This window comes from Homo sapiens, chromosome 9 (assembly GCF_000001405.40).
Source record: "Homo sapiens chromosome 9, GRCh38.p14 Primary Assembly".
In the NCBI taxonomy this organism is placed as follows: domain Eukaryota; kingdom Metazoa; phylum Chordata; class Mammalia; order Primates; family Hominidae; genus Homo; species Homo sapiens.
The window spans coordinates 104,102,203-104,128,538 of record NC_000009.12 but is presented as its reverse complement, the minus strand read 5'-3'; the positions used below and the strand labels follow the sequence as shown (position 1 = coordinate 104,128,538).

The window sequence follows — 26,336 nt, the reverse complement described above, 5'->3', positions numbered from 1 at the left end:
CATTGTCAGTGCCTGGCACAGTATCTGATACTGGTAGGTATGTATAAATCTTTGATTGACTTCTTAGCAGACCCACTTGCAAGTCCCTCCTTTTACTCTTGTAAATAAAATCTCCTAGCAATCGCCAGTACTAGCATTTTCAATTACCAAAAAACTATTAGCAGTAACATTGCCATTGGTAGTATTTCAGTCAGTCCACTATCACTAAGCTAATGGGAAATCAATAGTAATAAAGTGGTAGATTATAATGTAGCCATGAAAAATGTTGTTTAAATCAAGTTCCACAGTTCTTTCAGAAGAGAGGGAGATTGTTTTGTATGTTCTTGATCTTTCTGAAGTTAAAGTTCATGTATTTTTAGGATGCTAAAAAAAAATATCCTGGACATTAAAAAGGTGCCAAACTGTTACACACTCATAAGAAAACATGCTAGATGAATTATTAATACCATGTGAATGCAGCTTCTTAACCAAGCAATGAATTTCTGCAAAAGCACGTGTTATCTTTAAAGCACTGAAGTAAAGGTGCTGTGACACATGAAAGAAAGAAACTGGGATAACCTCAAAAACATAGCTGCTTGGCAAAACATCAGATTTTTTATAAAGTTGCAAATACTGACAGCAGTAACACTCATAAAGACATGTGGAAGCCAATTCAGTCCTTTTTTTAGATTACCTGTATATATAGTTCTGTGAGTTTTTTAATTCAATTTGAAATAAGGTAGAGAATATATATCATTATTACTAGCACATCAGTAATTAGTTCTATCAACATTTGGAGGTGAAAAGTTATTTCCATGGGAGACCACTAAACATTTGGTAAATACATCCTGTAGATGGGAAAAAATATCTAAAGTTAAATCTAAAAATAAAACATTTGTGCAATTTGTTGAAAATTAGCATTGTTGAAAAGCAGTTAAAGCTGCAAGCTCAAATTTATGCCAGGCTGTAATTTTGCCATTTATATTTATAGAGTTCTCTATCAAGCAGTTTTCTAAATTTTTTCAAGAGCTCAGTAACAAAAATTTGATTTAGTATAAAAAATGCACACAAACGTATACCTTTGCAGCACCATCTTCAGCCTCCCGTTTATGTTTGCTGATGTTGTGGTCTAATTCCTTAATTTTAAGCTGAGAATCATTGTTTTGCTCCTTGTGTTTTGCCACTTCTGCATATTTAGCTTTAATTACAGTGTCTTGGGCTGTTATCACCTCTTTTTGCTTGGTCACCTCTTCTTGAGCTTTATTTACTGACTCCTAAAACAAAAAAATTAAAGAAAATATGTGGTGAGGTAACATGTAAATAATTTTAATTTACTAAACAATTATCTGACAGATCCCTGGGCAAGAGGGCAATGTGATTACAGGCAGAGAGATGATCACCTAACCCTCTATATTTTATATCACCATTAAAAGGACTAATCAATTTATACACAGAAGAAAACTTGGATCATCCCTGGTAAAAGGGGTGGGAGGTACAATGCTCATGCTGCACGCTCATGCTGCAAATGAGAGCGTTTTTTGTTAGATGTAATGTAGATGGAATCAACTAAGTGAGGAAGAAGAGGGACTGCTAGAAGCTGACTGACCTATGTGATCCCAAAACTGGCAATTCTGGATGAGTAAAAGCTATTTGTGCCTCATTCTCTCATGATGACGAGTGAAAAGACTGAGAACACTAAAGTCAAACATCTTAAGCTAATGTTTCATAAAAAGATTCGCATTTTCAATTTCTCGAATTTGATAAATAAATCCTACCTTATTTTTAGCCACCTCAGCTGCCATTACTTCAATCTGACTTTCATAGGATTTGATAGCTTCATTTACAGCTTCAAGCTGTTGTTTGTAAGATGTATGCTCTCTCTTGAGCTCTTCCAGTTCCAGAGTGATAGCTTCAACTTCCTATAAAAAATACAGTATTCAGGTATTCATATAGGTTATTAACTACTGAAAAACAAATATGTACAGAACAATTAAATAAATAATAATCTCATGCAAGTAAGACCCACAGCTTTGTTACCACTCAGCTACCGAAAGTACAGGTTAAGCTGCTTCCCCAGAAAAGGAAGTTTATTTTCCTATATCAAAAAAAAAAGTATGTGTAATTTTTATAGGTTCAAAGAACTCTGCATAAATTATTTTCTTTATCCTTTATTCCTATAGGGAAAATAATATAACATTCTACGTAACAGATGAATTACTGGAAGTAAAGCTTTTTTAAAAACAAAATTGTTCAATGTGTAAAAAGTTTCTCAATATTCTTCTTTCCCACTATAGCCTTCAGTTCATTAGAAGAGCAGTCCCCAACCTTTTTGGCACCGAGGACCAGATTTGTGGAAGATGATTTTTCCATATGGCGGGCACAGGGAGAGAGTATGGTTTCAGGATAAAACCACCCCATCTCAGATCATCACGCATTAGATTCTCATAAGGAATATGCAACCTAGATCCCTTGCATGCACAGTTCAGAAAAGGGTCTGCACTCCTCTGAGAATCTAATGCCACAGCTGATCTGACACAAGGTGGAACTCAGGCAGTAATCCTCATTTGCCTGTCACACACCTCCTCTGTTACTGGTCTGTGGCCTGGGGGGTTGGGGACCCCTGCATTAGAAAATACTTTTTACAGCTATTTAATGACAAGAATCTTAGAGTGGGCTAAAAAAAAATGCGAGGGAAATATATTTAGGTGAAATCGCATAAAAGTGATTAACAACGTAGCCTTTGGAGACAAAAACCTAGGTTCAGATTCCAGCTTTGGCATTAGCTAAAAGATATAACAAAGTATCATCAGTTTACAACTGAATGACACCTTGTAAATATAACATGCTTTGTCTTCCATTATGCTCTCACAGTGCACATTCATTTAGGTGCTTATCAAATAAAAATGTCAACTTGCTGAATCTCTGATATGACATCCAGAATATCAAATAATCCACTCCTGAAGAAAGGCCATCCACTCTTGAAGGAAGCATTTACCAACCGTCAACTTTGCCCTTTCCTTAAAATTAGCATCCCCTACTCACAACTATGAAACACTCGATTGCAGGGTTTTCAGAGAAAAATACAGATTAAATATCCCTTATCCAAAGTGTGTAGGACCAGAAGTCTTCCAGACTTCAGATTTTTTTTTTGGATTTTGGAATATTTGCATTATACAGAGTAACTGAGTATCCCAAATCCAATCTGCTCCAATGAACATTTCCTTTGAGCCTCAGATCAACACTCAAAAAGTTTCTAATTTGTATTTTGGATTTGAGATGCTCATCCTGGATACTCCTTTGACTTGTAAGAAGCATAATTTGTTTCCAAAGAACACTGCTCCCTTTTAGATTCTGAGATCAATTCTGATGAATAAGGTCAACCAATGATGCTCTACCACCTTCAGCTCTATGTTGACTTTAAAAGGTTGGTTCAATTTCAAAAAGAAGTTATTACCTGTTGTTTTTCTTTCATCTTCTTGCTAGATGCATCTGCCTTTGTTTTGGCACAATCCAGTTTTTTCTGAGCATCTTTCAGTTCTCGCTCTCTTTCAGCTTCTGCATTTTTCATTTTATTTTCCAATACTTCATATTTTTCTTCTGCTTTTCTTTGGATTTCTTTAGTGTTTTTCAAAGTCTCCTCACTTTCCTCTGCATCACAAAGTAAGCAAATGTGGCTAAGTTAACAATGGTAAAGGTTGACAAATTCAACTTTTAATAGAAGAAATGGTTTGGAAAATTACAGGGTACAATTTAAGAAAATTAACTATCCCAATGATATTCTAGAAATGGTATAATGAAACACAGATCCTACCCAAAAGCCATACTTGAATTATCTAAAGATCTGTAACAAAATAATTTCTTTTGCTATGAAATTGAACTTTACCTACAACTATCCTTTTACAAAGGTATTGAAGCAACCTATTAAAAAAAAAAAAATCACAGATCATATTTTTAATGCAATTGTATGCTTCCTAAAACCAGAACAGTATAACTATGGTATTTTTTCTATAGTTGCTAGAAAGTGTGTAATTTCATAAACAAGCTTACTTTATGTTCTTTGCCTATTTTATACATATTCAGGGAACTTCTCATTAAAGTCGACAAATAATATGACAGTATGCCTGGGATACAGCAAAGGAAAAACATCCCCAAATCTGTGAAAGAAAAAAATAAGGTCAGGCGTGGTAGTTCATGCCTGTGTAATCCCAGCACTTTGGGAAGCCAAGGCAGGCAGATCATGAGGTCAAGAGATCAAGACCATCCTGACCAACATGATAAAACCTCATCTCTACTAAAAATACAAAAATTAGCTGGGTGTGGTGATGCACGCCTGTAGTCCCAGCTACTCGGGAGGCTGAGGAAGGCACCTGAACCCAGGAGGTGGAGGTTGCAGTGAGCTGAGATTGCGCCACTGCACTCCAGCCTGGGGACAGAGAGAGACTCCGTCTCAAAAAAATAAATAAAAGGGCAATACTGAATGAACACGTGTTGCTGTAACAACTGATGTATATTGTGAGTGTTAGGACCCAGGTGCAAACATAACCTTGGAAGTCATTACCGCACAATTTCTTACACTACTTTTCACTGCAGAAAATACTATTAAAATATTAGTGGAGAAGCACATGTGTGGATATTGTCCTAATGAATGACAAAAATTTAAACTACCATATACAATTAAATTCTAAGGAAAACATATAAGCTATCTTAAAATTAGGGAAATGGCTATAAAGTGAATTACACTAAATATTAAAAACTTTTGTAAAACAAAAATACTATGAACACAAAATTAAAAGACCAGTACATAGCCAAAAAAGATGGTAAAAGGATATTTGCAATGCACATAACCTACAGGAAATTAGGACTCTTAAGCATGAGAACAGTGGGAAAAAAACCATGAGCAACCCATGGGCAAAAGAAATAAACAGAAAATTCACACAAGTATAAACCCAAAGGTCCAATGAACATACAAAAAAAGATCCCAAATTTCATCAGCAATTAGGGAAATGCAAATTAAATGCTAATGCATGCTATCTTTTCACAACCAACAGATTTGGAAAATTTTAAAAGTCTGGAGAAAAAAGAACTTGGAGAAATGTTCATATGCTGCTGGTGGAAATGAGTATTGGTAAAAACGAACAGACCTTTGACGATATACAATAAAGATGAAAATGACCATACCCTAAGACCTAGAAATCCCATACTTGGATTTTCCCTAAATAAACTTTATCATATATATCTTAAACATAGCACAGGTAGAGAAGATACCTAAAGTAAGGTAACGGATATGAATAAAACCAGAGATTAAGCATGGACTGTTTTCATCTTACCAATGGTTTTTTTAAGGGCATCTAATTCTTCTTGTTGCTTGTGATATGAGCTTTGCTGGAGCTTGGTTTGTAATAAATCTGCCTCTTCAGTTTTCATCTCCCACTGCTGTTTTAGTTGGCGATACCTTACAAAAACAGAAACATGTAAGAAATGACTGTCATTTTTCTGGTATTTGAGAAATACATTCAAACTTCAGATTCTTACCTTAAATAAACTCACATACGTTATAAACAATATAAGATGCTACTGGTTACAGGAATAATTTTGACGGCTTTCAAGTTTCTGAGGCACCAATTAATTCAAATTTAGATCTGGTCATTGAAGGTGAACAACTCTAAATGACTAAAATCTGTAACAACTATTTACATTAGAAATATTTAACAGCTAGGTTTCCTTAAAAATAATCCCTCTTGCTAACTAAAAAGAAAAAAAAATCAAACCAACTACTCACCACGAAAAATGATTAATTATAACAATTACATAAAATTTCAAAAATGTAGTTATCTATTTATTAACCTCATTTTCAAATGTTAAAAATAATAATAATGTTCCCTACTTTTAGTGTAAGAAAAATAGTTTTGAACTTAGTTGTTTAAAATGCACTTTCTTGAAAACTTTGTAATTCTATCCCTGTTCTGGCTGCTTAGTCATTTCTTTTGAAAGGTATTTAGCTAATTCAGTTGCAGTGAAATTTCAAGTTAATACAAATTCACAAAGTACCTTGTCACTAGAAATCATGAGGTCTGAGGAAAAAAAAAAAACAAAACTTATAAAATATAAATACTACCTTGAGTATTCTTGCCTGAAGATATACTTGACAGTACTTAAAACAATAATTTTAACTTCAAATTAATTTAAAAATGTGGAATGTAGAAATATTTGTTTAAAAGATGTTACTTTCCTGATATGGTGTGAAACAATGGCTTTAGCTGATTCTTCCACCATTCTCATTTTTTTCAAAATCTATTTTCCTTCCTTGACCTCAGTGTCACAAATAGCAAAGAATTCAATTCTGCAGAATAAATGATCCAATACTACTGAACAAAATTAACAGTTCTAAGCCAAATGTAACTAACTACAAACTCATCACCTTGTTAGAGCTTCCACATATCACAGAAAAATTCTGTTCTACTCTTCTCACAGAAAAAAATTCATTTACTCTATGGTTAATTTATATTCATGAAGGTAAAATGCAGGCCTTTACATGTATGTGATGTTTGAAAGTAAAAAGGATAGAACACTTGAGGCCAGGAGTTCGAGACCAACCTGGCCAACGTGGTGAAACTCCATCTCTACTAAAAATACAAAAATTAGCCGGGTGTGGTGGCAAGTGCCTGTAATCCCAGCTACTTGGGAGGCTGAGGCAGAGGTTGCAGTGAGCCGAGATCGGGCCACTGCACTCCAGCCTGGACGAGTGAGACTCCGTCTCAAAAAAAAAGAAAAAGACAAATTCTGATTCAATTTATATCTCTGAATGGCCATCCTGACTATGAAAATCTTGCTCATATTTAGTGTCCTCAAAAGTCTTGGTGCCATTTTAAGCTTTCATAACTACAGAAATTGAATGCTAAAAACATACCCAAAAATAATCATTTCAACATTTATTTAGATTTTTTAAATTGTATTCAGTATTGTGAATTCTGAATAAAATCTTTTTAAATCAGTCCCTATTTGTCATCTTCAGAGATACTGGAAAAAATAACAATTGAACTTTAAAAAAAAAATTCTTTTTTTTTGAGAAAGGGTCTCACTCTGTCCCCAAGGAGAGAGTGCAGTGGCACAATCTCAGCTCACCGCAACCTCGAACTGCAGGGCTCCAACAATCCACCCACCTCAGCCTCCTGAGTAGCTGAGACCACAGGCACATGCCACCACGCCTGACTAACTTTTTTGTGTTTTTTTACAGACACAGGGTTTCTCCATGTTGCCCAAGCTGGTCTTGAACTCCTGAGCTCAAGCGATCCACCCGCCTCAGCCTCCCAAAGTGCTGCGATTACAGGTGTGCACCACTAGGCCTGGCCAAACTTTCAAACAATGCACTTTGTTAAGTTTGTAGCTCTTTTAACTTATGAAGCTTTCAATTCAAGTGGGGACTATTCTCCCAGATAACCACAGAGCCAGTTCACTCACTCTTGTTCACTCACTCTTTCGTGTGTTTACTCAACAATCATGTCCTCAGTGAGGCTTTTCTTGGCCACCCAATATAAAATTTTAACATGTCTTTGCCCTAGATAGCTCCTATCTCCTTTCCTGATTTACTTTGTTCTTCTTAGAACTAGTAACATGTTTTACCAATTTATCTTTCTTTATCATCCGCTTCTCCAACAAGAAAAAACTAGATGAAGGCAGGGATATTTATCTGATCCCCAGCCCCTAGAAGAGTATGTGGCACACAGGAGGCACTCAATAAATGTTTACTGACTGACAAAAAAAGGTTACATTAGCATGATCCCAATATTGAAAAAATAAAAATTCACATATACCTCTATTATACAAAAATAGAAGTGATGTTGGAAAGTATATACATATCTTATCCATACCTACACAGAAGAAATACTGTAAGGAAACACTGAAATTTTAGTGCTGATATTCGACATGAACTTGTTTACCTGCTCACTAGGCAACCTAGCAGATCCTTGATATATGTAGGACAGCCACAATGCTATTAAACTTACTGTGGGCACCTGATCAATGCTATACTGTATCATATTCATGTCAAATCAAGAAATCAAGTATCCTCTGGTATCAGACGCCAGAGTGTCGAAGGGTTTCCCCAGCAACCCTAGCCAAGTGCTAGTTTATTTCTCAGCAGAGAGAATGGAATATTTGAATGATTTTTTTGTTTTGTTTTGCTTAAATAGATTTTGCTAATTTCTTAACAAAGACATCTCTCTTATGAGAAAAAAATGGATAAATGGTAAGTTATCAACTCACAATTTAATCAAACATTTTAAATAAAACCAAAAATATGAGAAAAGTCAGAAGCTGTATTTCTTGAAATAAAAGTAAATTTTCTATCATTTTCTACTATGCAAATCTTTAATTAAAAAAAGTATATGCAGTTCTTACTTTTCAGCAGTGTTTTTAAGACCTGCTAATTCCTCTTCTAGAGCCCGCAGCTCATTCTCTTTGATTCTCAGTTCATCCTGAACATCTTTGAGTTCTTGAAACTTGGTTAAAATGGAAGCTGCCTGGGATCGAGCACCTGATAGAGGCAAATTGAAACAGGTCTTCCACATTGTTACCAGGTATGTACTACACAATAAAAAGTCTTCTAAGAGAATTATACTCAAATTGATTCAATAGTAAATATTTTAATGAGCTTATGAAGCCATGGAATTCATTCCATCACCTGAACCTTAGAACACAGAGAACTCATAACAGATCCAAGAGGTTGTAGTAGGTATTATTTATTCAAAATAACCACTGCCTTGTCTACTGGGCCCATCTTCCATCGTCTGACACTGGACTTGCCTACGTGATTTGCTCTGGCCAATGAAATGGGGAAATGTGTCTCTTCTGAAAGTAAACTTTAGGAGGCAGTACATAATTTGCTTTAGGAGGCAGTACACCATTTGCTTTCCGTTTGCCATGGGAAAAATATGTTCAAGACAGAGACGACTACTCCTTCACACTGAGTCCCAGAATGAGAATAGCACTGAGCAGAAAGGCAACTGATCTGCAGCAGATGTAGCATAAACATGGAATAAATTTGTTGTAAGCTAAGATTTCGGGGCTGACCTAAGTTCTGATACAGCACGGCAAGCAGAATAAGCCGATTTCACATTATGCAACTATAACTATCTGGCAGTCACAGGTTGAGGTATTATGTTGACAAAGAAACTCCACAGGTTTGATGGAAGAATGCTAAGGTCAATTAAAAATGCTTTTAAACACTTTGTAATTAAAATACGGGGTTACTTATTTCATATCCTATAAGTAAAAACTTCAAAAGCATCTGAATCAACAAAATCTAAAAAGTTTCTTCTCTTGTAGACATTTAAAAACACAGTCTCTTTTTATCTTCCATTTGCAGATACTAGTCATTTGATTGTGTACTGGAGAATCTGATACCTAGTCATGGAATTCACTGAACCGGCTAATGTTTTCGTGGCCGAGAGCAACATTAAGTCACTTGATACCTCAAGTGGCTTTATGCCGTCTACTGGGTTAAAAACACAAACTATGAAATCAGACTGCTGGGATTCAGATTCTAAGCTCTGCCACCCTGTAGTGCGTTATTTAAGCACTCTGTATCTTCATTTCTGCAACTGTATATTAGAGATCATAATAATATGCCTACCTCATCGTTGTTATTAAGAACTAATTCTTATTTAAAGCCCATAGAATAGGGCTTTATAGAATGATAGACATGTTCTATATCTGCATTGTCGAATTATCCATTAACCATTTGTGATTATGGGCTCTTGAAATGTGACTAATGCAACCAAGGAAATTACTTTTAACTTAATTAAATGTAAAAAGTCACATATGGCTAGTGGCTACTGTATTGGACAGCATAGTGTAGAACACTGTCTGGTATACAGTAAATATTATTCAGTGTTTGTTATTCTATTGTCTTGACAAAGATCTGCAAACTCAGTGTGGCAAATACTAGACCAAGAAGAATATGATCACTGTCTAAGAATTCCTTTAAGGCATTAAGGTACCATTTCAAGGGCAGGTTTAATTTTTTGTTTTACTTTTGACAGGAGGTAGGTGGCACTGGCAAACACACAAATGAGAAGTTAACATGTTTCCTGAAGAAGTGGGTAGTTGGGCTAAAAATGTACTTAAAAAAGGCATCTTCCTATTTACCACAAAGAATTGTGAGGAGAAAAGGATATAAAACTTACCTCCACTCAATGTCCCATGAGGATCAAACACATCACCTCCGAGAGTTACAGTTCTAGTCATTATCCTCTTATCAAAGGCCACTTTTTTGGCATTATCCATATTGTCACAAACAAATGTTGTTCCAAAGACAAACTCCATTGCTTTCTGAAGTTCTGGTTTATATTCAACCAAGGAAAGAGCCACATGAACGTTGTCAGGGCCAACCTGTGGGACAACAACAGATATGCCACAGTACATACTACTACTTTTCCTTTCAGATATGATTTTATAAACCAGTAAAAACTGCTGTAATAGAAACTTAAATAATACTTACCTAGCATTAAAACTCTTTCTGAATTTTCTAAAAAGCTATGTAAAACTCAAAGTTTCAGGAAAAAAAAACTGCAGGTTTAAATACTGAAAGATTTATTGCTAAGTAAAATATTTATTAATAGCTAGTATGGAGCATTATGAAAGTTTCTATCAATAAGGAGCCATTACCATGTTTCTAAGTGTCCTTCACCAACGTTGACTGGACACAACTTTAATTATAGTACAGATTGAGTATCCTTTATCCTAAATGCTTAGAACAGAAGTGTTTGTTTTCAGATTTTGGTATATTTGTATTACAGTGGTTGAACTTTCTAAATCCAAAATACTCCAATGAGCATTTTTTGGGTGTCATAGTTTTGAATTTTGGAAAATTTCAGTTGTTGGACTTGGAGTGCTTAACCTATAATTTCCAGATCAACACAACTATATGAAAATGTTGTTTCAATAATCAGGAATTTGATTTCACAACAAATATTTTCTCATACAAATGAAACATGCTAGAGCAGTCGTCTGCCAGTTACAGAAATGAAAACACAATAACTGAGAGTAAAAGTAATTTAAAAAATCCCCAGTCCTCTATTTTGATCACAATGCTTCTTCTCAGCCTTTGTTTATAGAGGCTACCTCTGCCCATCATTTAAGAAAAACTAAGCATCTCTTTTAGAGCTTAGTATCAGCAGTGGCAGTCACAATGAAGGAAGCTCTATGTAACACATGTTCAGTATTGTTCTTTGATGTGGCAGCTACCATCAAATAGGTTTGGCTAAAGGATTTGAGGCAAAGTATTTTTGCTGTTACTTGAAATCCCAATTTCCTTCTAATGCTGGGACTCGATGTATGGCTGAATTAACTTCCTGAGCCTTCTTGACTTAATGGTGAGTTTTCAAGTAAAGAAAGTACCAACCAAAAACATCACCTTTCAATTACTCAGCACTCATCCTCCCTCTCCTGATAGTATACATATCAACACAACTGTATTTTGAAATCATTTGCATTGAAATCTTCTGAATGTAACTAAGGATACAACAACATCCACTTAGTTACAAGTATATTTTTAAGTTTCATAGAAATGTCTTTTCAACTGATGTACTTGGAATGTCTGATCAATAAAAAAACTGATATTACAGCTGAATGTTATGACTGACTTCATGTTTTTACAGTATTACACAACTACAATAACTTTTAAATGTATTTCCTTGTACTAATCTATTTTCTTACTAGCAAGCATGTCACTTTAGATCAACGTCAGCAGTTGAATGGGATCCTGGTCACCTGCTATGTACCTGCACAGGCTGAATAGCAATCTAGAAGAACTCTAATAAAGAAGCATCACTGCAATACTAATGAAGGCCTTCCATAATGGCTGTGACTGTGGGCAGTTTTAGTATGCCTGACATAAAAAGAAACAAAAACAAAAACTTGAAGAATTTGGGGTACGTATCTAGAAGCTCAGTTCTAACCATTCAGGAATCAAGAGTGTAATTTTCACCATCACCTGATTGATAGTCATGTGACTTAAGGTTAAAAAGGACATTCTAATACCACAAAGTGAAGCATCAAAAGGAGTTCAAGTCTTCCAACATCTCTATTCTCTTATCATCTAATTGCACAAGCCAACCCAATTTTTTTGTATTTTAATTTTGTGGTTCTGCATATGATTATGTCCCTCAAAATTAATGTCTTCTAACTTAAAAAAACCACAGATGACGATTAAACATATAAATAAGACAAAATGAGACTTACAAGATTCTGAGCAACTCTCAGAGTTTCTGGTGCAATACATCTGGCTGAAATTTTATTGAGTGGAATTATAGTGTATCGACGTTTCAGTTCCCCCCTTTCTAGTAGCTTTTTACCAGTAACCTACAACACACATTTGAATTTAAAAAACGCATGTTAAAAATGACAGAAAATTGAGAGAATGCAAGTTTAGTAGTCTATAATAAATGAATGTTTAGTGCCATTTATCCCAATCAAGTTATAATTACATATGCAATGGAACATCATTTGAACTTGAAAAAGGAGATGCTGCCATTTGGGACAACATGAATAAACCCAGAGGACATGATGCTAAGTGACATAATCAGACGAAGAAAAAATAAAAAACTGTATGACCTCACTTGTACATGGAATCTTTTAAAAAAAAAAGCTGAACAAATAAAAAGAGTAGGATAGTGGTTATCAGGGATGAGGAGTGAAAGAAAATGGGTAGAAGTAGGTCATAGGTCAAAGGGTACATATTTGCAGTTGGGTAGGATAAATAAATCTACCTATTCAGAGATGTAATGTATAGCATGAGGACTATAATTAATACTATATACTGAAAATTTGCTAAGAGTAAATTTTAGGTGCTGTCACACACAAAAAAGGTAACTATGGAAGGTGAATGGCTATGTTAATATGTCTGACTACAATAATCATTTCACTATGTATATGTATCAAAACATCTTGTACGTTTGTTTTTTTCTTTTTTTTTTTGAGATACAGTCTTCCTCTGTTGCCCAGGCAGGAGCGCAGTGGTGCAATCTCAGCTTACCGCAGCTTACCGCAACCTCCACTTCCCAAGTTCAAGCAATTCTTGTGCCTCAGCCTCCAGAGTCGCTAGGACTCCAGGCGCACGCCACTACGCCTGGGTAACTTTTGTATTTTCAGTAGAGATGGGGTTTTGCCACGTTGCTGAGGCTGGTCTCGAGCTCCTGGGCTCAAATGATCTGCCCACCTCAGCCTCCCAAAGTGCTGGGATTACAGGTGTGAGCCACCATACCCAGGCTTCTTGTACATTTTAAATATATATATAAAATAAATTAAAAAAAAAACAAGGAAGTAAATTTGACAATGACTACGTAGCATTTACAGGAAAGAATATGAGCATTCTACAGAAGGATAATAAGTGAGAACTGAAGAAATGTAAATAAATTCAATGTTACCTTGATGGGAAGACTGACATCAAAAACAGGTCATTTATTCCCAGATTATTTTACAAATTAAATTCAACTTATACAGCAAAGAGATCCCAAAAGTTTAAGATTGGTAATATGCATTCTGAGTTTCTGAGTAAGCATGAGACCTCCTTTGGAATAGTTATCAAAAAGTTATGAACCAAATAGTTTTACCCTATAAATAAGTCACCTTAGGGGAGAGCCTTAAAACATCAAAGTATTTAATTCTTTTAGCAGCACATGACTTTTCAAGCTAACCAAATTTTAAATTTTTTAAAATTAAAATCAACTTACTTCTGTGTCTACTACAACATTGTAGAGTCGTTCTCCAGCCACTAATTCTAAAGCTGTGGTTGCAGAAGTGTCTTTCACACTAATCAGAGAAGCCACAAGTCCTTTCACACAATTTCTATTCCAGTTCTTCTCTGGATCCCTGAAATACAAAAGTTGACAAAAATTAATCTTAGATAATAAAGTAGAAAAAGTTATACTTTACTCATCAGGAGCTCTTTTGGACAACACATTAAAGTGAAATGAAAGTAGAATCAGCAAAATGGTTTTAACAAACCAAAAATTTTAAAATGTCCCAAATGACTAGCCAGCTGTTGTTTTTAAATCACAATAGATCTTTCAGTATGTTTCAATGTAGTAAGAACAACTCTGATGTTCTAATCCCTATAATACATATGATTACTGTAAATATTCCATAAAAAACCCACATAGCAAAACAAATTATAAGATGTAAATGTGGATATTTAACATTAATGATACAGTAACTCTGAAGACATTTTGAACTGAGATTAAATTTCCCTCATTTTAAGATTAGTGGCATCATTAGCCATTAAATTTCACAAGAATTTCCCTGCCAACATTTAAAACATTTCAACAAATGTTTAAAGGAAAAATACCAATGAAAGAAAAGCAGCTTACAACAAGTTTCATACAAAAATCTTGGTTTCGACAAAATTTTCACACTGCTTCCAGCTTAAATAAAAATGTCTTGATTATTACTATGTTAAAATTCAAGGCTTAAGTCTCTTACTTGTATGCAAATCGAAGATTGGGAAATCTGGCTAATAGAGCTTCATATGTTTCTTTCAATCTACCAATATCACGAGACAGCTGCCTGCGCTTTTCCAAAAGGCTTTCCTCTTTATTTTCTGAAGGATAAATCATAATAAATTAAAACCAAGTTTTAAAAGCTCACTCTACTGTTTTAAGGAAAATATTAGCAACCACTATTTCCAAAGCATGCAAAAAATACAAATTTCTGTAAGTATTAAAAAAGCATGCTGAACCTTCCTATTTCTATCCACTGTCAAACAGACATTATTTCCAACGGCAAATAACACAATTTTCATTCCAAAAAATAACATACAAACTGAATGCCTAATGTAGAAATACACAAATGACATTTTTGAGCTTTCAAATGATTGAAGCAGGAAATTCTCAATACTGAGTTCTCAAAAATTCAAGAGTTGTTTTATAATTAGGTATTTTTTGACGATATTTACAACACTTCTTATACTAATGCTTGTTAATAGGCTAAGAAATGTTTCCTACTTGCTTGCGTTCTTTATTTAAATTAGCTTTTTATCAAAAATCACTACCTCCTCATGATCTGATTATCATGTTTTTAAAGGCAAACCTTCATAATTTAGCTTTTTCATTTCAGCTTCAAGTTTTTCTTTAAGTCTTTTTACAGCTTCTAGAGCTTCTTGATCCTTCCTGTAGCCACTATCCATCTTCTTAACTTCAGCTTGTTTATTCTTTAATTCCTGTTGAGCATGCTTCAACTTCATCTGAGCCTGTGGCAGAAAAATGCAACAGACCATAGGATGTATGAGGCAGACAGTGCTAGTAATTAAATGGCCGAAGATTCAGATTGGTTTTACTAAGAGACCTTAACCTTCAAAGTTTAATTGTTTGGTCTCTTGGATTAGTATTTCAACAAATTAGTCATTTCCCAGTATTTTCTCCTCAAAAAACTACTCAAAGTATAAACTAATATATGATTAATATGTAAAAGAATTTGAAATTTAAGTCCGTATTTTTAATAAAATATGACATATTCAAATTGAAGGATTATATCGAATAACTGTCAGTAGCTGGTAATTAAAAAAAGAACGCTAGAAATCACAACTCTCGTTCTTTTCCTTTCCGCTTAGTTGTTCATATTTGTATGTGTATATATTTGTGAGTGCTATCTAATAACAGTAAAGAAACTGAATTGAGCAATAAGACGTAAGATTATACAGGAAAAGAAGCTAAACTGACAGAGAAACTTAAATGCTGAGTCTGATAATTAAATGCTAGAACTATTTAAATTACATGTGTCAGGCCTTCAAGAATTTATACACTTGAACACTGCTTCTTAAAACTATGAACTAGTATTCTAAAACCTAGATGGGGTTTTAGATGGGGGTATCCTCCAAAACTGTATAATGATGTATTTTTCCCAGTTCCCTTATAAAATAATAGACAAACTGAGAGTAGAGTACTTTAAAGCTTTTCTACTATTGAGAGTTCTTATAAATTTGTGACTATCATCTGTCATGCCTGAATGAAAAAGTTGCAAATATATAAAGAGAAAAACCTGAGGATTAACGCATAATCACACACATTTGTGTACATGTTTTAAAATCTGTGTCTTCCATTAAAAACAAAACAATGATGTGCCTGTGTACATGTATTTTTTCTGCTAGCAAAATTCTTATGTTCATAGGACTGTAAGTTGCACTACTATGTAAAATCTGAGAAACATTATAATAGACTGACAAGACTTTTAAGATTATGAAATCAGAGTAGGGAGAGCAGACTAGAATGTGGCTACATGTGAGGTAGAGATACTTCCTAAAAAAATGTAAAGTTTGAGAAACAAGGTTTTAAGAACTAGGTATGGCAGGCAAAGCAATGGGGAGGACAATCCTGTTTTCCTGTTAAAGCTTAAGACTTCAACATTATGTTATCAATAAAAAATAAAAATAGCCAAAAAGAGACAAGAATAAATGCATTAATCTCGAAAATTCCACACAATGCTGCAAACAGAACAAAGCATTTATTGCACTTACATACCGAATTAAGATAATTTATGTAGTACAGCATCTTCACAAATTAACATCACCAATATTTAGCAATCAACATATTTGAATTTCGCTGCATTAGGCATTAGAGTTGCAGAATAAAGTAAACAAACAAGTTCCTTGAGACTGATTATTTTCAACATTATGTAACAATTGCCAAAGCATAACATGAAAAGAAACTTCTTGGAAAAAAAAGCAATCACATAGTGCTAATGTCTCTATTTACCTGTTTGGCTTCTGTCTGAGCTTTACTTATATCATTTTTACAGGCCATCATTTGACCAGCAAGAGTTGCTTCTGCTCCATCTTCATTACTGGACAGGCCAGCGGAAACAGCATTGAAGTGCTGCTGTGCAGCTGCCAGAGCTTCAGCATCTTTATTACTTGCTTCTTGAAGGGCATGCAGTCCATCTGTTATCTTTTTAACCTCTTTTTCCTTTGCTGCTAAAGTTTTTGAGTCCTTTAGGAAGAGTTTCAAATGGAAAAATATTATATTTCAGGAAAAACACCCACTTTCTTATACGCATACCCTTATGTAATAAAATTCCATAGCAATTTGGAGTGAGCATAATAAAATAATTTAACCATCATAACTTTATAAATACTGAATTATCATTTTGAAATTCACTCTCAGTTTTTAGAATAAATATAACTCTTATACTACTGGTTCATTCCATGTTATAAATTAAATCCATGAGACATTGGGCTAAATAATAATTGCAGATTTAAACAAATCACTTGAAGGGACTAAAAATGAATTTCTAAAGCTGTAAAACTGAAATAACAGACATCCTACACTAGCTTAAAAGTAGAGATTTTAGAATTAAGAGCATGTATATGAAAATATTTTATAAACTGTCAAGAGCCATAAAATTTGAGCATTAAATAGTTTCAGAAAAAGTATTACTATTATGTAACACCTTTTAAGTAATACTACCAGATAGCTGACACTATGCAAGATACCAGACCTGAAAAAAGAAAATCTAGCAATCTTACTTACAATTAAAGTGACAACAAATTTTGGCCCACTTGATTAGTTCATGATTCATCAAATATTTATTAAGTGCTTACTATATAGTAGGCCCTATTCTAAGACATTAAAGACACAGACTAAGTCGCTGTTCTAAGGGAGCCTATATTCAAGGTTAGAAGACATAGTAATCAAACAAAACAAGGTTGGGGAATAGAGTGATAGGAACAATTACTTCAAGAAGAATAACAGAAGGCCTTTGAAATGCCATTTGAACAGAAGACTGGATGAAGTGAGAGGAGTGACTGCGCAAATACTTGTGGGGCAGTATACTTGAAAGCCCTGAGGAACATGTTTGAATGTTTGAGGAACCGGACTAGGAGCACAGTGAGTAAATGGCTAAGGAGCCAAGAGTCACATCATGAAGCACCTTGCAGGCCATGGTAAATAAAGACTTAGATTCAATTATTTAGTTGATCCTTAAACATGGGAGTTGGAGTACAGACCCACCCTACAGTCAAAAATCACATATACTTTTGATTCCCCCAAAAACTTAACTATTAATAGCCTACTGTTAACCAAAGCCTTACCAATAACATAACACAATTAACTCATATTTTGTATGCTACATTATATACTGTATTCTTGCAATAAAGCTAGAAAAAAGATATTAAAAGCATAAGAGAAAATACATTTACAGTACTGTAGTGTATTTATTGATGCGATAAGTTTATATTATCTGTTTACAAGATAAATCATCTGTCTGGAAAGGCAGGCAACCACAGCTGCAGACCTCAATCTATGGTACATTATCAAGCACTCAACTATTTTTTGTAGCATCCTGACTTCTCTGCTTTTTGGGAGCATTTTCAGTATCACTAGTGGCACTTCATATGGATCCCATGTTATTCGGGTTTATGGTACTGCATTAAACGTGATGAAAAATACACGAGAACCACAAGAGATCACTTTCTACTGAGCTCTGCAACTTACTGGAAACGTGAACTACTAAGAAGTAAATGATTAATGTCACACTGAGTTTACTTGAGCTCACCACAATAGCAACAGGAGGTGGCTACAAAATTATTATAATAGTGTAGTATGTTCTATAGTTTTATGCAGTTATCATTTAATATTGCATCTTTACATTTGTTTACATTTCTCTCAACTATGAATAATGCCAAGTATGGTGTTTATGTTTTGATAAATTTTAACTTTTTATAATAGATTTTTGTATATTTTATGGTAGTAAATGATAAAATAGACTAGTACCTAAATATATTTTGTGCATTTATGACAACTTAACTTCTTCTTAATTTTTTTGATATTTCTAGGCAATATGGTATTTGTCTGCAAATTTTTTCAAATTGTTGCAAACCTCCAAATAATTTTCCAATATATTTATTGAGAAAAATCTGCTAATAAGTCAATCCATGCAGTTCAAAACCATGTTGTTTCAGCGTCATACAGCATACGCGTAATTCGGAAACCACTGAAGGATTTTAAGCACAGAAGTGATGTGATTCAATTTATATTTTAGCTTCTGTAAAGAACAGACTATAGAGTGGCAACAGGAAAAAAGTAGCGCAACTAATAAGAACATTATCGCAGTAGCCCTCATGAGAGGTGATGGCTTGAACGAGGTTGGCAGTAATGGAGGTAACAAAAAGTGGCTGTATTCTGAATACGCTTTTAAAGTTAACAGAATTTGTTGATAGACTGGATCTAGATATTTAAAGAATGGTGAGAATCCAGAGGACTCTAAGATTTCTGGCCTCAACAATTAGGTAAATAGTGGTACCATTCACTGACATGAGGAAAATTCAGTAACTCAGGTGGGTTTGGGTAGTTGAGGGAAATTGCTAAATTCTATTCCGGATATGTTAAGTTTTACACTTTTTAAAACTCATCCAGATAAAAATGTTAATTAAGTAGCTGGACAAAGAAATCTAGAGTTTGTTGGACAGTCATCTGGGTGTCCTTAGACTAACCTTGTTCTCCCTTTCTCAGTTGAAGAATAGCTGTAGAATGTGCTAGAAAATGCAACATTCTGATAGAGGGAATGGCCTGAATAATCCATACTCTATTTCAGTTCCCTCCTAGAAATATGCATGTCCTTTCATGCTTTAGCTCAGCAACTCACGTAAACCAGGGGATCATGTGCTGACCACCCCCATTTCTCTATTTCTGGGGTATAAACCCAGGGCAAGCTGCTTTCTGGGGTCCCTCAACTGTATGGGGAACATACACATGAAACTCCATCCAACACTTGTGGGAATGGCCCACCATGAAACCTAGGATTTTACTGTCTATTACTACCTATCTGTAGGAAATAAATTTGCTTCATATAACTTGTGCTGTATGGGTGAGTTCTATTAACACTGACAGGTTGGTAACTAGTGCATACTGAACTTGCTTCACACCATCAGTGCAGTTAGTAGGGTCTGCTCTGACAGAATCATGATCTCCTGGTTGTTGGACACATGTAATTGCTCATTCCCAGCGCCAGAGAGCTCGGGAAGTGGGTAGTCAGATGGATCCCGAGAGGGAACAGGAAAGAGGTTCTCAGACAGTGCCTGAGGCATCTGAAAGAACCAACACATACAATGCAGACCTTCATAGAAAAGGAGGCTCACTATCTAGAGGACGAGTATATGGAAAGTCCAGGAAAGGCTTATGCAGCCTGGCTGAAGTGTTTGTTTGATAAAGGGACACTGTGGATCCAAATGGCTAAATGGCATAGTTTAGAGTGGGACCGAGGTCTCCGGGTCCCCACCAGAGATGGCCCTATACTCCTGTCAAGATGAGAAAAAGAAATGAAATTAGGCTTTTCTGGAGTTCTTGGATACTGGAGCCCACAGGACATATTTCCAGTTTTCCTAGGGAAAAGTTAAACTGATGACCATGGGAGGGTTTCAGGTGAATGTAATGACTCACTATGCTTATTGCTTATCTGCTGTGAGTAGGATACTTTGTGTCACTTTGGGTGCTGGTGACCACAGTTCCCACCACTGAGTACGGATATTGATAGTTTGGTTGCTTGTGGTGCAGAACATCACCACCACCTGAGGAGGTATGCCCCTCGTAGCTAAGAATTTGAGCTATACCAGTGGTGCATATCCAACCCGGCCTGCCACCTAAGACCTCATAAGTTACTCAAGACTTACCCAAAACCTCTTAAGTTACTCAGCGAAAGCAGTACTGCATACCAAGTGGAGAATAAGACGCTACTTTCTTAATTCAAAACCCACTACAGATAAAAATGTCACAATGCACTCGCCTAGTCTGGCTAGTCAGAAAGGCCTTTGGGGCATGAAGACTAATGGATAGTCACAGGCTGAATGTCAAGGTCACTTGGACAGAAAGCCAAGGAAGTATCCCAGATATAGTCAAACAAAAATTGTTGGTGCTGGTGGCACTTACTAATGAAAAAGAAGCCCCACAGCTGGTAGGTCTCTTGGGTACTAAACACAGCATATAACCCATGTGGGTCTTTTTTTGGCCCCCTTTAATCCAGGTGACCAACAAAGCTGCCAACTTTGAACAGCGGACTTTGCAGTAGCAGGCCTTAGAAAACAATTTAAAGTAGTGGCCTTGGTGCTGCTTTTAAAACATTTACAGTCTGTTAGCCTGATGCAATGACAGGTGTCCACAACCTCCATGCATGCTGACTGCAGTCTATGGCAACAGAAACTTGTCACTGGGGAGACCTAGCCTCTTCTAAGTTGAACTTTAAGTTGCTTGAGGCAGCCACCTGATATAACTCTTGGAATGTAACTTCTTGCTTGCTATTGTGCACTGGTAGAGACCGTGTGTCTTAAGGCCAGAGCACTACATGCGACGCTGTGACTTAAACTGCCCACTCTTACTTGGGTGCTTACAAACCCTATCAATGAATTGGGGCAGGCTCAAAAGAGCTTGATTATCAAACAGAAATGGTACATTTGAAATCAAGCCCAGTTGGAACCCCAAGGGACCAGCAGGCTTCATGAAAAAAATGGCTAGCTTATTAGAAGGGTCCAAACAAACCACAGGGGATGCTTTGGCTTCTCCTCTGGCTCCCCGGGTCCTAAGATTCTGAGATGTGCCTACTAATAGTATGGCGGGGTTTACTGAAAGTTCCATCAAACAAAACAGGAGGGATCCTCTTGACTGTAGCCACCATCATGCCAGTAAGTGGTCATCTTTTGACTGAGGCTGAACATGGGCATTACGCTCAATGGGTCAAACTACATGCAGTGGTGATGTCCATTTGGTCCACCCCATCACCATATCTTGCTACATTTCACCAACTCATAGGCTATTGCCAACAGCCTAGTCATCTGGTCAAGAGAAGGGCAACTTAGTGACTCGAATGCTAAAAAAAATCCCCTATGTGGACCAGGCGCGGTGGTTCATGCCTGTAATCCCAACACTTTGGGAGGCCAAGGCAGGTGGATCACCTGAGGTCGGGAGTTCGAGACCAGACTGACAAACGTGGAGGAACCCCATCTCTACTAAAAATACAAAATTAGCCAGGCGTGGTGGTACATGCCTGTAATCCCAACTACTTGGGAGGCTGAGGCAGGAGAATCGCTTCAGCCCGGGGGGTGGAGTGCAAGTTGTAGTGAGCCGAAATTGCGCCACTGCACTCCAGCCTGGGCAACAAGAGTGAAACTCCGTCTCAAAAAAATAAATAAATAAAATAAAATAAATAAAAATCCCCTATGTGGAAACAAGGACTTGCTGCCTGAAAGGGACAAATATATGTCACTCATGTGGACCCTGATGCTACCCTTGAAAGAAATATGTCTTTTTTTGATACTTCATCATATTTCACTCTGCCCAAGGAACATCCTTCACTGCCCAAGCAACATGATAATGGGCAGTCTCTTGTGGAATATAGTGGACTTTCCATGCACCCTGTTATTCACAGGCCAATGGAGCCACTGAACAATGAAACAGCCTACTCATAAAGTCACTGAAGGATATCAAGATGGCCTATTAGTGAGGTGGTACCAACATCCGACTAGGGCATTATGGACCTAAACACTGTACTTTAGCACAAAGGAAACACAGCACTGCAATGCATAGCCCAATCCCTATGATAGCTTGGGAACATCTGAGATCCCAGGAGTGTGTTAGGTGGGAGCACTAACCTGTCAATACACTTTTTCCACAAGGATGTGGCAGCAAAGACCTGGAAGCATAACACCTCCCAAGCTGTGGCCATGGCGGGTAACATGATAAGATGTTAGATATGACATCCAGGACATTTCTGTCATAGCCCACAGGGACAATCTGGTCCTGCTAGTAGTGAACTACCCTAGCATTCCTAATGTCACAGTGTACACCAACAGACCCCAACCCCTGGCTTACATGAGAGGACATAGCATCTGTCACATAAAAGGGTGCTAAAAATGCCATTTTAACTTAACTGTGGCAAAACATCATGATGAAAACTAACATAACCTCAGTGGGCAGGTCCCATTGGTGATGAAGGAAAGAGAATCAACTGCTGCAAGCCTTCTGTGTAGGAGCTTCATGAACAGTTTTGCATGGGAGAAATTGAACTTATGTAACTATACCACTAACGAGATTTAGCTGGCAAACGCCAATGCCTCCCTACCCATGAATGGGGTCACTGAATAGTAAAATGGGGGAAAGGGTGCTATGTGCATCCAAGGGCTACATCATTTTCCATGGGCAGCGTAGGAGTGACCCAAACAGAAGATGGGCAATGTCAGGCCTGGAAAGCGGGCAGACGGTGGGATCCTGTACGTTGGGCATGCTGGGGGATGCCGTTACATATCACTCCTAGAAATGAGATGCACCATAGGGCCAGCAGCCTAAAGCTGTACACCAGACTTACTCAGGACGTACCAAGAGGTTTTACTGACTCTGGGTTTAAGTGCTTTATAAAATCTTTGGTACCATATATAACATTGCCTTGGCAGCCCAGCAGATATCCCTTGGGAAAGTTGTTTTAGACAACTGCTCTAAACCTGTTAGCACAAGTGGGAAGAATACATGCGATTGCCAACACTTCCTGCTGTATCTAGATAAACACCTCAGGTATCGCAGAGACACAAATACAGATCTGGAAGCAGGTCCGAAGGATCCTTCTTTGACCTCTTTAACAACTTCATACCTGGATTACTAGGATCCTGGGCTGAGTCAGTGCTCCAGGCAGGCCTGATCATCCTGCCTGTGGTCCTCCTGGGCACAGTGAAATGTATTCTGGCTATGGCTCAACAATATTGCAATGAGATTATGTCAGTCAGAGTGTTATATCCATCTAAGAAGACAAACCTCCTTCTCCTTCAGCTTCAGAGAAGTCTGTGGGCATAATAAAAGGACTAGTTTTGCTAGAGGGGATACCTAGATTGGAGGATAAACTACAGGACAACTCCTTAGGTGGCATTAGACTAAGCCAGTTCTTCCCTCCCTGGCTTACAGTTCTCAAGAATAACTGTAGAATGTGCTGATAATGCAATATCCCAAGAAAGGGAGGCAATGGTTAGAAGAGCCAGGACTGTTCTATCTGCTCCTCCAGCTGCCCTAAAACATAATCTCAATGCTTCAGCCCAGTGTCTCATGTTACTCTAGGGTATAAACTCAGAGCAGGCTGTTTTCTGGGGTCCCTCAGCTGCTGTGCAAGTTGAGCACGTGCAAATAAAATTCAAACCACCCTAGGCAGCTTTTCTGAGCCTTGGGAGATCAGCTTGCAATGAATCCTAGACTTCTGTTTTCCCTTGTTGCCTATCAATAAGTAATAAATCCATTTCACATAAAATGTTGTGTATGAATGTGTTATGTCTGCTGGCTTCAGACAAGTTGGTAATCTGCACACAATAAACCTGCTTCATAGAGTTTAGGGAGTTAAGCCTGCTTATAGATTTGGAGGGCATCAACATATAGATGATATTTAGAGTTACAGAGCTGGATGAGACCACCTATGGCGTGAGAGTTTATAAAAGATATCAGAGTGCTAGCCTTAGGGCATACTAACATTAAGAGATCTAGAAGAATAAGGGGATACAGAAAAGAAGGATGAAAAAGGAGCAATCAGTGTGTGAAGCTTAAGGACATGACAAGACTAAAGAAAAATGAACCCAAAACAAGGCAGGTCCACATGTTTAGAGCTTTACAAACCTCACCTAAAAAAAAAAAGTAATTGATGAATTGATTTCAGTTCTTGGATGCCACAACACAGACTGCTACAACACGTTCATATCGCTTCAAAATTTTGTCTAAATTTTCCTCCACTGTTTCTTAATTCAACAATGTATTTCTCTGCAAAAATATCTAACAGGGCAGTATAAAGAAATTATTTTCACAAAGTTAATTTTTTTTCAGTGAAAAGGCAAATGTATACCTTCACTGGGACAACAGAATCACCCTCAAAAGAAATGCCATAAGCTCCAAAAACACACCTACTCATCTACCTACATGTGAGACTATATACTTGACTCTTCTGTTACCATGGATGACCTATTCCTAGTTCTCGCGAAGGCGACCTCCTCTATACACTAGTTCCTATCCTACTTGCAGCTACTAAGGGGCCCTATTTTAACAACTCTCCCATCTCTCTCTCCTGAATCACAAATGACGACTTTTCTACTGGATCTTTTCTGTCAATATAGAATTTATTTATCCCATGTCAAATCAAGCCAAAAACTCTCTTCTGTATTACCCTCCAGTTACCTCCCTATTTATCCCTCTTTCAGAAAACTTCTCAAAAAGTTATCTATATTCACTTTTCTTTTTTCTGCCTTCATTCTGTGAGAGTATGAACACAATCTAATCAGGTACTCATGGCCACTTCTCCTTGAAACATCTTTTTTACCTGGACTCCAGGACAATTTACTGGCCTAATTTTCCTCACACTACTCAATCTCTTTTGAATGTTGAACTATCCTAACATTCAAACGTTGAAAGTATCCCAGGGCTCCAACCTTCTTATATGAACTTACAGCCTTGATCATTTTATCTAGTCTCATGGATTTAAATAACACCTATACATTGATGATGCCTCCAAATCTGTATTTTTGCCTGGATTCAATATTCATATAGTTAAGTACCTAATCAACATCACTACTCAAGATGTCTAACAGGCTCCTCAAGCCTATTATATTCATACTGTATTTCTTAAGCTTATCAAACCCGTTCTTCCTATTCTCCACTTACTTCAGTGGCTATCCAACTTAAAATCCCAAATTGTACTCTTTTTCCCCTACACTCCTAATCCCCTTCCCTGCTTTTTCTCCACATCAGTTATCACTCTATAACATGTTACATGTTTTATTTATTTTCTTTATTATCATTTCCCCCAATGGAATGAAGGTCCACAAGGCAAGGATTTTTGACCATTTGGTCCAGTTGTAACCACAGCCCAAACAACTGTACTTAGCTTATAGAAGACACTCACTAAATATTCATGGAATAGATAAATGTACACTAATGAGACTATATACTTGTCTACAAGTGGCACTAGTGGCACATTAAGCTCACTTACCTCAACCATATTTTTTTCCAGCTCTTTGCGTTTGCTTTCCTCACATGCCAGATTTTTCTTCTTGAGATCAAATGCGCTTTGAGATTTAGTATTAACTCGCTGAGCCTCTGCAAGAGCATCTTCTAAAGATCGAAGTATACCTCCAGTTTCCTATAACAAAATGCAGTCAATTCAATCACTTATGTAAAATTTGTTCACGCTGTCATTTTATTGTATGAGTTCTGTATCAAACACTTTTTTATAAGTTATTTCATTATCTTACTATAAGATTAACAAATCAATACGGAAGACAATGCCCAATGAATCCTAAATAGTTACTATATATAATTTAGTACGTTTTTCACAGAGTATATTATCGATTCTTATACATA

General features: G+C 36.5%; 1 protein-coding gene across 22 annotated transcripts in view; it reads right to left on the bottom strand.

The window, feature by feature from the left end:
* SMC2 (structural maintenance of chromosomes 2) overlaps nucleotides 1-26,336 on the bottom strand; it is a 53,157-nt gene that overhangs the window by 12,881 nt on the left and 13,940 nt on the right. For 21 of the 22 annotated variants that reach the window (XM_011518149.4, XM_047422644.1, NM_001042551.2 and 18 more), the window contains 12 exons: nucleotides 25,966-26,115; nucleotides 16,725-16,958; nucleotides 15,064-15,223; nucleotides 14,458-14,575; nucleotides 13,710-13,848; nucleotides 12,220-12,339; nucleotides 10,164-10,368; nucleotides 8,377-8,512; nucleotides 5,307-5,431; nucleotides 3,434-3,627; nucleotides 1,755-1,898; nucleotides 1,059-1,253 (listed from right to left, as the gene is read on the bottom strand). In XM_011518149.4, the coding sequence (XP_011516451.1) occupies nucleotides 1,059-1,253; nucleotides 1,755-1,898; nucleotides 3,434-3,627; nucleotides 5,307-5,431; nucleotides 8,377-8,512; nucleotides 10,164-10,368; nucleotides 12,220-12,339; nucleotides 13,710-13,848; nucleotides 14,458-14,575; nucleotides 15,064-15,223; nucleotides 16,725-16,958; nucleotides 25,966-26,115 (1,920 nt within the window). Of the gene's footprint in view, nucleotides 1-1,058; nucleotides 1,254-1,754; nucleotides 1,899-3,433; nucleotides 3,628-5,306; nucleotides 6,320-8,376; nucleotides 8,513-10,163; nucleotides 10,369-12,219; nucleotides 12,340-13,709; nucleotides 13,849-14,457; nucleotides 14,576-15,063; nucleotides 15,224-16,724; nucleotides 16,959-25,965; nucleotides 26,116-26,336 lie in introns of those variants that run through there. The other variant, XM_024447383.2, reaches the window with a different exon arrangement.